The 12,116-nt window shown below is 38.9% G+C and overlaps 1 protein-coding gene across 2 annotated transcripts in view; it reads right to left on the reverse strand.

Moving 5' to 3' along the window:
• SMU1 (SMU1 DNA replication regulator and spliceosomal factor) overlaps positions 1 to 12,116 on the reverse strand; it is a 34,910-nt gene that overhangs the window by 6,077 nt on the left and 16,717 nt on the right. For both annotated transcript variants that reach the window (XM_005251503.6, NM_018225.3), the window contains 5 exons: positions 9,757 to 9,873; positions 8,996 to 9,123; positions 8,272 to 8,398; positions 5,282 to 5,449; positions 265 to 417 (listed from right to left, as the gene is read on the reverse strand). In XM_005251503.6, the coding sequence (XP_005251560.1) occupies positions 265 to 417; positions 5,282 to 5,449; positions 8,272 to 8,398; positions 8,996 to 9,123; positions 9,757 to 9,873 (693 nt within the window). The remainder of the gene's footprint in view (positions 1 to 264; positions 418 to 5,281; positions 5,450 to 8,271; positions 8,399 to 8,995; positions 9,124 to 9,756; positions 9,874 to 12,116) is intronic.

Below are 12,116 nucleotides of genomic sequence, written 5' to 3' on the forward strand. Positions count from 1 at the left end.
GAGTGAGACTCCCTCTCAAAATAAAATAAAATAAAATAAAAATAAACAAACTTATATAGTGTTAAGCCACCGAGATTTGGGGATCATCATAGCAGCTGACATTAATTTTACTTCTTGAATTTGACATGGAGCTAAATGTTTTAAAACAACATATTTTATACTGAGGGTCACATCGATAGCTCTGGAAAAGGCACATACTTCAGAGTTCAGAAAGACACAAGTCCTACCATATTTCTTTAGATGAACTTAGTAAGTAATACTCACTGTCAAAGTTCTCTCCAGTTTGCCAGTGACTGTACTGAAACAGTAGAGCACAAAGTCCTCCCCTACACAGTAGATCCATTCACCACGGGGAGAGAGGGCACAGCAAACAAAGTCCCCACCTTCTCTTTTACCAGAACTGAAGCTTCTGACAATCTAGATCACACCACACCCCAAGAAAAAAACATCAGGATTAGTAGCAGCTCAACCATGTGCAGCATTTTAAACTGACATTTTTACGTTGTTATTTTGCACTTTGGTTTACTATCATTTGTAATTAGATCTCCAGTCCTGTTCATCATGTGCTAACTCCCCTTGCCTGGGAAATATTCAATAGATAAGTAATCTAAACTAAGTGGCAGACAAAAATTTAGAATTCATACATCCCACGTCACCAATCATGCCCTAAAGAGACATATTACCCTTAAGCAAATTTCATTGCCATACAAAAAACAATTTTCTAAATCAATATACCAGTATTTCTCAAAGCTTTCTGGATGTCTGCTCTCCAGTTTCCTCTAACAGAATGAGAAGCTTTCCCCATACAGGATGACACTCAGTCTCTAAGACTTTGCTTGCTCTATTGATACATTAAAATCATCATAAACCAAGCTGAGAGAAACCAATCTGAAAAGGCGAACAGTTTACATACTATATGCTTCCATTTCTATACCATTTTCAAAATGACAAAATTATAATAATGGAAAACAGATCAGTGGTTGCCAAGGGTTAGGGCTTGGGATTAACCTGAAATTTAAAACATGATACCATTTACATTAGCAGCCCCAAAGTGAAAATACTTAGGTATAAATCTAACAAAATACATACAATATTTAAATGAGGAAAATTACAAAATTCTGATGAAGGATATCAAAGAACTACACAGAGATATTCTATGTTCATGAACAGGAAGACTCAATATGGTAAAGATGTCAGTTCTTCCCAACTTAATCTACAGATTTCATACAATCCCAATCAAAATCCCAGCAAATTATTTTGTGGATATTGACAACCCAATTCTAAAGCTTACGCAAAGAGGCAAAAGACCCAGAATAGCGAACTCAATGTTGAAAGAGAAGGACAAAGTTGGAGGGCTCACAATACCCAACTTCAAGATTTACTACTAATCTACAGTAATGAAGACAGTGTGGTATTGGATCAATGGAACAGGATACAAAGCCCAGAAATACACTCAACTGATTTTTGACAAAGTAGCAAAAGCAATATAATAGAGAAAAGATAGTGTTTTCAACAAGAGATGCCATAATTCGACACTTACATGCAAGAAAATGTATCTAGACACAATAAAATAAAGACCTTACAGTCTTCACAAAAATTAACTCAAAATGGATCACAGACCTAAATGTAAAACTCAAAACTGTATTTAAAACTCTTAGAGGATAACAAAAAAGAAAATCTAGATGATCTTGAGTTTGATGACTTTTTAGATACAACTCCTAAGACATGATCCATGAAATAACTGATAAGCTAGACTTCATTAAAATTAAAATTTTCTACTCTGTAAAAGCCACTGTCAAGAAAATGAGGCCAGATGCAGTGGCTCATGCCTGTAATCCCAGCACTCTGGGAGGCTAAGGTGGGAGGATCACTTGAGGCCAGGAGTTTGAGACCAGCCTCAGCAACATGGCATGACCCCATTTCCACACACACACACACACACACACAAAAGTCGGGCATGGTGGCACGTGCCTGTAGTCCCAGCCACTTAGAAGACTGAGGCTGGAAGATTTCTTGAGCCCAGGAGCTCAAGGATGCAGTGAGCTATGATCATGCCACTGCACTCCAGCCTGGGCAATGGAGCAAGACCCTGCCTCAAAAACAAAAAAGGAAGAAAATGAAAAGACAAGCCATGGACTGGGAGAAAATATCTGTAAAAACCAGATTTGATAAAGAACTATTATCCAAAATATACAAAAAACTCTTAAAACTCAACAGTAAGACAACAACCCCATTGAAAAATGAGTCAAATACCTGAAACAGAAACCTCACCAGAAGTATAGAGATGACAAATGAGCATATGAAAAGATTTCTACATGTGGAAATGCAAATTAAAATGAGATACCACTACACACCTATTATTTGAATGGCCAACATCCAGAACACTGACCACACTCAATGCTGGTGAGGATGTGGAGTAACAGGAACTCTCATTCACCAAGGGTGAGAATACAAAAGGATACATCCATTTTGGAACAGTTTGATAGTTTCTTACAACTAAACATACTTTACCATACAATCCAGTAATCACACTACTTAGCATTTACCCAAAGAAATAGAAAACATATTCACACAAAAATCTGCACATGGATGTTTATAGCAGCTTTACTCATAATTGCCAAAACTTGGAAGCAACCAAGATGTCCTTTGGTAGATGACTGGATAAATAAATGTTATTAAGCACTTAAAAAAAAAAAAAAAAAAAAGCCGGGTGTGGTGGCTCAGGCCTGTAATCCCAGCACTTTGGGAAGCTGAGGCGAGTGCATCACGAGGTCAGGAGTTCAAGACCAGCCTGGCCAAGATGGTGCAACCCTGTCTCTACTAAAAATACAAAAATTAGCAGGGTGCAGTGGGAGGCGCCTGTAATCCCAGCTACTCGGGAGGCTGAGGCAGGAGAATCGCTCGAACCCGGGGGCCGGAGGTTGCAGTGAGCTGAGATTGCGCCACTGCACTCCAGCCTGGGGGAGAAGGTGAGACTCCATCTCAAAAAAAAAAATAAGGCCGGGCGCGGTGGCTCACGCCTGTAATCCCAGCACTTTGGGAGGCCGAGGCGGGCGGATCACGAGGTCAGGAGATCGAGACCATCCTGGCTAACACGGTGAAACCCCGTCTCTACTAAAAATACAAAAAATTAGCCGGGCGTGGTGGCGGGCGCCTGTAGTCCCAGCTACTCGGGAGGCTGAGGCAGGAGAATGGCGTGAACCCAGGAGGCGGAGCTTGCAGTGAGCCGAGATCGCGCCACTGCACTCCAGCCTGGGCGACAGAGCGAGACTCTGTCTCAAAAAAAAAAAAAAATAAAAATAAAAATAAAAAATAAGCTATCAAACCATGAAAAAACAAGGAGAAAAATGCATCTTATTAAGAAGTCAAAATGAAAAAGTTACGTACTTTATGTTTCCAACTACATAACCTCCTAGAAAAGGCAAAACTATGGAGACAGAAAAAGATCAGTGGTTGCCGGAAGTTAGTGGGGAAGGAGGAAGAACAGAAAGGGCACAGAGAATTTCTGGGAAGTGAAACTACTCTGTACAATTCTCTAATGGTAGACACCTGCCATTATACATTTGTCCAAACCTACAGAACATACAACACCAAGAGTGAATCCTAATGTAAACTATGGCCTTTGTGTGTTAATGATGTACCAAATGCAGGTTCATCAGTTGTAACAAACGTACCACTCTGGCACGAGATACTGATAGTGTGGAAGGCTGTGCCCGTGGGAGGGACAGAAGAAATATGGGAACCGTCCGTATTTTCTGCTCAATTTTGCTGTGAACCTAAAACTACTCTTAAAAGTCTATTTTTTAAAAAACAACAAATTATGACAATGGAAAACTGATCAGTAGTTGCCAGGGGCTAGGGTTATGGGGAAGACGTGACTATAAAGATGTAGCATGAGAGTTTCTTTGGGAATAAAACCATTCTGTATCCTGGCCAGGCGCAGTGGCTCACGCCTGTAATCCCAGCACTTTCGGAGGCCGAGGCAGGTGGATCACCTGAGGTCAGGAGTTCGAGACCAGCCTGACCAACTTGGAGTGACCCCGTCTCTACTAGAAATCCCAGCTACTCGGGAGGCTGAGGCAGGAGAATCGCTTGAACCCGGCAGGCGGAGGTTACAGTGAGCCGAGATCACGCCATTGCACTTCAGCCTGGGCAACAAGAGCAAAACTCCATCTCAAAAAAAAAAAAAAAACAGTTCTGTATCCTGATTGTAATGGTGGTTACATGACTCTATACATGTAATGAAACTTTACAGAATGATTATATCCCTGCTTAAAAATAAATAAATAAATAAAAAGAATGCATGTAAAAACTGGTTATATCTAAATAAGATCTGTAATAGAGTTAATAACTGTACCAATGTCAATTTCCTAGTTCTGATCATTGTATTATCATTATATAAGATGTTATCATTGGAGGAATTTGAAGAGCGAAACACAGGAACTCTTCTGTACTATTTTTGCAACTCTATGTGAATCTAAAATTATTTTTTCAAAATAAAGTATTTTAAAAAGTCAAGCACAGAACTGTGAAGTGTGCTCAGCAGATGCACTGGGCAGCTGTAGCTATTATGCAGTGGCCCAAAAGATACTGCGGACCAGCCATCTCAGCTATGGATTCTCAACTACTACTCCATCAGTTACAGAACTCAAAGAATGGAAAGAGAGTACTACACACCAGCCCCTGGGTCTTCTCTATGGTCAGCAAGATCCCCAAGTGTCCAGGCCAATAATCCAATAGCACTACCATACATACCTAGGGCTTGGGTCCTCAAACTTGATGCTTCTGACACCCCCAGTGCTACTTCACAGTCCACAAAAGTGAGATTCCTTGAGAACCTTGCAGGTTTTCTGATTAAAAATACACCGAGGACACTGCTGCTGCCTTTCTCCTATTAGTGTTCCACTTTAGATCGTGGTAGCTGGGAGATGTCCTGAGTTGGTAATCCATACTACACTGTATCCCCCTAACTCAGACAAACACTGTTATCTTAAAATCTTCAGTGAGGTTCTGAAGGAGGCTTAAAGACAGATAGGAGCTTCCTTTATCCGAAGGATGAAAGTGCTTAATATACAAACATCCAGGGGAAAGGAGATCACTTTTGAAATACCAAACAGATGTTTTATGGAGCTATAAATAAATCTGAAAAACAAATACAGCTTAAACGGTTTACAGAGAAATGAACCCAAATTTGGTTATTGGGAGGGTGGGCCTGGACCAGGAAGTGCTGATTTGGGAATGGCCCACAGTTCCTGTGCAAGGGTACGTTCTGAACACTCACCTGCCCCTGCATGTTCATGATGACCACCGTGTTTGATCTGTTGCACACCACAAAGTGCTCAGGGTTTTTAGGAAGTAGAATCACACTGTTGACGGTAATATCTGTCCCTGCGGTGCTGCCCAGGGATTTAAAGGTATTTGAACATTCTGTGGTCTTCATATTCCAGATCTACCACACAGAAATTTAAGTTATAAACCTTTTTTAGGTATAAAAATTTCTAAAGTTTTAGGGTTTAAAATATTAACAGTTTACTAAAAAAGAATAGAAATGATTCAGGGGAAAAAAGTTTCTTACTTGATTTTAGGTCCAATCAAATACCCAGCACTGCCATATACAGTTTTCCTTCGGTATCTGTGAGGAATTGGTTCCAGGATCCCCTTTAGATACCAAAATCCAAGGATACTCAAGTCCCACACATAAAATGATGTATTTGCATATAACCTATGCACATCCTCCTGTATGCTTTAAATCATCTCTAGATTACTTATAATATCTAATACAATGCCCGCACACCACTTCCTTTGTAAGGATTCAATGTAGTACTTGGCATGGGGCAGATTTAAGTTTTGCTTTTTAGAATTTTGTGGAATTTTCTTTTTTTTCCCCAAATATTTTCAATTTGTGATTGGTTGAATCCATGTTCCGGATACAGAGGACCAACTGTAATAGAGTAAGCATTCATCATGTATTTGTTGATTTATTGGCAAAGCCAAAGTCACAAACTAAAACTTAAAAACTTTTAAAAATCTATGATCTTTTCTCATACATTTTTCCTTAGCCAATAGAGCTCTCTCTCTTTAAAATTAGTTGTTTGTCAACACTGCTACTGTCATAAACAACCAGAAAGCTACCCTTGTCTGGATATCAAAACCAAACAGGGGGTCGGCCATGGTGGCTCACGCCTGTAATGTCAGCACTTTGGGAAGCCAAGGCGGGTGGATCACTTGAGGCCAGGAGTTCAAGACCAGCCTGGGCAATATAGTGCGATCTTGTCTCTATGTAAAATAATTAAAATAAAATACAAACAAACAAAACAAAAACCGCTTTTCTTTTCTTTTTTTTTTTTTTTAAAGAGATGAGATCTCGCTATTTTGCCCTATTGCCTCTGCTGGCGTTAAACTCCTGAGTTCAAGCGATCCTCTCACTTCAGCCTTCTGAGTACGGGACTACAGGCAGGTGCCAATAAGCCTGGCTCAAATAGAGGCTTTTTAGCTTGAGACTCTATCCTGAGATTTTGATGTGGTAGGTCTAGGGTGAGGCATAGGCATTTTTTAAAAAGCTACAAATGATTCCAATGTACAGTTTATACTGACAATGACTGAACAGAAGTCACAATGTTAGCACACACACATGAGGAACTTTGAAGTGGAAGCTACTCTTGGCCACTTGCATTACTTTTCCCGGTCTATCTTTTCACCTTATCCTTCTGGGTTCTATGAACTGAAAGGGTTAAATCAGGTAGCACAGAAATCTGAGATGTGCTTAGAGAAGGGATGGATCAAACATTAAATAGCATTGTCCTGATACCACTCAATTCATCAGGTACAAAGTCTCTAAGGCATGGACTCTGCTGTGTTTCCTCTGTGCCTTCCATGGAGCTTAGCAGAAAGCAGATGTTGAATAAATACCCATAAACAGGAGAAAACAGTTGCCCTGGTGTCAACACTGTTATTGCCTGCCCTAATCTCCTCTGAAGCCCAGTTGCTTAGAAGAAAAAATGAACATTTCAGGAATTAAGAACGCTAAGGCTTCCAGTGTTTTCCATTCAAAAGGTCAGTGACACGCTTTGCCCCACTCACTGCAGAACTAAGGGGGAAAGACCACAAAATAAGGAACCTTAGATAAGCCATCTTCCAGTGGCATTTACAAGTTGTGAGGCCCATATGCATAGCATGAGAGCAAATCCCATGACTGAAGTACTAACAGCTCTGTGTGATTTCCCCATACATCCCAAGGGAGCATACATCTCCTGCCTTCGGGTTTCCAGTTCGATTTCCAATCATGAACAGCAATTTCAGACGGTGGTCTGACATATATACATATATATATATACATACATTTATTGATTGACTGAGACAGGTTCTTGCTCTGTTGCCCAGGCTGAAGTACAGTGGTGAGAAAATTGCTCAATGCAGCCTCAAACTCCTGGGTTCGAGTGATCCTTTCACCTCAGCCTCCCAAGTAGCTAGGAATACAGGTATACGCCACCACCCCTGGCTGTCTGAATTTTAGATACTTAAATATGTATCTAAAATATCTAGATATTTGTATTAAAATGTTTTATTAAAATGTCTAGATCTTCTGCCACAAAGTACTCACTCATATAAGACAATTCAAAAAGATTAGGTCCGGAATGTAAATAGTGTCTCAAAGATCTCTAATAATTTTCTATTTGGGTTTCTCATATCTTTTCTAGGAAATGAGAACCTCTCTTCAAATAACTAAATCTTTAAAGGTACTGAAGATCCATTACTTTCAGCAAATTACTTATTAAATAACTATCTAGGAGAAGGCTTAGTTTTACTCAACACCTCTCCTATTCCTCTATAAATGCTACTAGGAAGGCCCTAAATCTGGGGACCAGGAGTGCAGTGAGGCTGTGCAACAAAAAAGAGATCTATTTATTAGGCCACTGAGACTTTCGTGAATTTGACTGTTAGCAGGTGGACCATACCTATGGCAAAACAGATTTAACCACCATGTGTATCTGTGAATGGGGGATGGCTTAAGTTTAGGACTCTTCACCCTTCCTCTTTTCCTACACATGATAAAGTTTGTTTGGATTGAAAAGGTTTGAGATTGGGGTCCCAAGGCCAATGGGAATTACCCACAGAATACTGTTGTTGTCTCAGACTCACCTCAATTACAGCTAAAATAGCCAGGAAAGAGGTTTACTACAGCACAATCATTCCCATTATCACCACTGAAAACTCCTCAAAGGACAAAGATGGGGTAGACATCCCAAAATAAACTGATAGCAAATACTTAACCTTTACAGTGCCATCAGAGGATGCACTAATAATGTAATGTCCATCTTGTGTAAATGTTGCTTCGTTAACAAAGGAGGAATGGCCACGAAATTCCTTCAGGGTTTTCCCAGATTTTAAACCATGAATTCTACCAAATGAAAGTAAATGAAAAGAACAATAAATATTTAATATCTTATGGTTGTGACCAACGATTGAATGCATTTTAGATAAATTACAGAAGCTCATGTTATAATATTAAGTGAAGAGGGCTATGTGATTGTGTATACGGTGTAATTTTCACTATATCAAACAATCAAACAAAAGCTTTGCAAAGAAAGAGGCTGGAAGAAAATATGCCAGTAATACCACAAGCTTCTGTTCAGGGACAGACCTCTAAAAAACAAGTTAGCAGGAGATTGAGATCAGTGGGTCTCAGCTGGGTCCTTTAGAGTATAACAGACCCTCTAAAGTGATTATGATGCAGGTAGGTCCATAAGACCATACTCTGAGAAACATGAAGCACTGCTACCCCCTTTCAAATGTCTCTTCTGGGTAAAAACTCAAATGACACAACAACAAGTGTCAGTTGTACTTTGGGGACATAAGGTCTCACATACCTTCCCTCTCCATATCACATCATCATGGTAAAAGCATCATGGTAAAAGCGTAAGGAATCACTAGTACCTCCCTCCATGGCCTCATTATATCAAACTCAAGTGAGAGCAGTTTTGGGATTTTTACTTACCTAATTGTCTGGTCAAAAGAAGCACTAAGGATCTGACTGCTATCCTTAGAAAAGCTTAGACAGGTGACACCCTTACTGTGTGCCCTCTCAAATCTCCTTAAACATTGTCCACTCTGAATCTTCCACACCTTTATTTGAAAAAAAAAAAAGAATTAAAAAAACCTTGTTAAGTGTCCTACTATTAATAGCCCACAGAGCCAAGCAAGATGCAATGCTCACTAATGTACTGAAACAGCATTAAAAATGCACGCTAATAGCTGAATATGATGTCTAGTTCACATAGTACAATGGTAACTGAATCCTTTGAAACTTAAAACTCTTTCCTTGTAAATTATTAAAACAAAAATATAGACTCTAAGTTCACTTAGCAGAGACCATTTCTGCAATTTCTGTAGCCCAGGATGTATTTCTAGCATTAAATACAAACCACAACAAATTGGCTATTAGACCATCCCCTTAAAAAAAAAGTTAGTTATTTTGATTTTTATACAGCAAGCCAGGGTGGTACAATAGAAAGGGCATAAGCAGATATGAACTAAAGTCCCAGATCTATCACTTACCAAGTATGTGACCTTAAATATGTTATTGGATCACCCAGACAGAGTTGCTAAGATTACATAAGAAAAAGTAAAGTGATTAGCATAAAGCTGATGCTCAATAATCAGTAGCTATTATTATGCTGAATATCATATGTAGGACACTACCCCATAGCAGAACATTCAAAATGTCTACATATGAGAGGCTGTGGCACTAATCCATACCTTGATTTTTCCATCTTGGGCCCCAGTTGCTAACATTTCTGTATCTCTGCTGAAACACATGCAGAGGACAGCATCATCCATCATCATAAAGTTATCTTGGGCCTGGTACTTAAGATCCTAAAGAAACAATGGTTAGCAGTTATCAAAATAACACAAAGCCAAGACCCCAGTTCTCTACAAACTCACAAAAACCAGGGGCAATGGATTGTACCTACTCTAAACCCCCAAAGTAAACAGAAGTGCCGTGCATACACGTTCCTAGTAAGTAACTAGTTCCCAGTGATATTGCCGGGGATAAATAATTTTATACAATTCAAATTAGTATTATAAAAAATACCCACATACTACTCTAGATCTTTTCCTTACTGATTTTTTTCTAGGCAAAATTTCTCTAGTTTCATATTTTACATCTTTAATAAATCTGAATTTACCTATTTTTGTATGATGTGGGAAACTAAACTAATATTTTTTCCAAATGATCAGCTACCTTTCCTGAAACAGTTTACTGACTAATCTATTTATTTGTGATGCTTCTTTTATTATCCATTATTGTTCAAACAGATTACTTTTCTTATTTTTTTCTAATTATAAAGTGAGACTGCTTCCTGGTTTAAAAAATAAAAGCAAACTATAAAGAAACATATAAAGTAGAAAGTAAAAATCACTCATAAATCCACTACCCATAGAATGGAATTTGGTACTCTACGATAAAAATTACATTTTATTTATTTATTTTTGAGACAGAGTCTTGCTCTGTCGTCTAGGCTGCAGTGCAGTGATGCAATCTCAGCTCACTACAACCTCTGCCTCCTGGGTTCGAGCAATACTCCTGCATCAGGTTCCTAAGTAGCCGGGATTACAGGTCCGCACCAAAACACCCAGCTAATTTTTACATTTTTAGTAGAGACAAGGTTTCATCATGTTAGCCAGGCCGGCCTTGAACTCCTGACTTCAAGTGACCTATCAACTTCAGCCTCCCAAAGTGCTGGGATTACAGGTATGAGCCACTGCGCCCAGTAAAAAATTACATTTTAAATCAGTGGATAAAAGTTAGTAAATAGCTATATGGGGAAAAAACCAACTTGGATCTATACCAACTTTATCCCGCTAAACAAATTCTTGAAGGGTCAAAAATTAAACATAAAATAAAAGATTAAAGTACTAGAAGAAACTGTAGGAAAAAAGATGAATAAATTTGATGATATAAAAAAATTTCAAGTCTGTAAAACAAAACAAGCAAAATCAAGAGATAAAAGTCAAAATTTTAAAGTATTTGTAATGTATATTATAAAACTTCATTTCCTTAAAATATAAAGAGCTCCTACAAATCAATAAAGAACAATCCAACAGAAAAATGGGCAAAAGATATTAACAGACTTCATAGTGTAAGAAATATTAGTGACTTCGGTAAAATAAAAAAAAATTTGTGGCTTTTCACATAGAAAAAGATGTTTAACTTCATTTATAAGAGAAATAGAATTAGTACTACAATTAGGTTAGATTGGAAATGATCTTAAATAAAATGGGTGGTTAAATACATCATGGTTCAATCCATGCAATGTAATATAATACAGCAATAATCTCCAACATATGCTATAAAAAGCAAGAAGTATAACAGGGTATATAGTATGCTATCATCTGTATTACAAAATTTTGAAAAGGATACATAATAAGTAACACACACACAGGATATTCCAGTAAAGTTACATAAGAAACTGGTAATCCTGGCTGGCCCAAGGAAGGCAAATGACTAGCTGAGGTACAAGTGTAGGAGCAAAACACTACTTGAGTAACTTTTTGTTTTTTTGAACTTTGTATCAGTTGTACATATAACCCCTTGAAAAAAAAATTTGTTTTTTGCACGTCCCTGTAATCCCAGCTACTCTGGAGGCTGAGGCAGAAGAATCCCTTGAACCCGGGAGGCGGAGGTTGCAGTGAGCCGAGATCGTGCCCCTGCACTCCAGCCTGGGCCACAAGGGCGAAACTCTGTTTTGTTTTGTTTTGTTTTGTTTTGTTTTTTCCCCCGAGATGGAGTTTCGCTCTTGTTGCCCAGGCTGGAGTGCAGTGGCATGATCTCGGCTCACTGCAACCTCCACCTCCCACGTTCAAGCAATTTTCCTGCCTCAGTCTCCCGAGTAGCTGGGATTACAGGCACCCACCACCAGGCCCAGCTAATTTTTTTTAGTTTATTTTTAGTAGAGAAGGGGTTTCACCATGTTGGCCAGGCTTGTCTCAAACTCCTGACCTCAGGTGATCCACCCGCCTCAGCCTCCTAAAGTGCTGGGATTACAGGCCTGAGCCATCACGCCCAGCCTGAAAAAAAATTTTTTACTTGTAAAAATAATAGATAATAAAACAAT

Source organism: Homo sapiens, chromosome 9, assembly GCF_000001405.40.
Source record: "Homo sapiens chromosome 9, GRCh38.p14 Primary Assembly".
Lineage (NCBI taxonomy): Eukaryota > Metazoa > Chordata > Mammalia > Primates > Hominidae > Homo > Homo sapiens.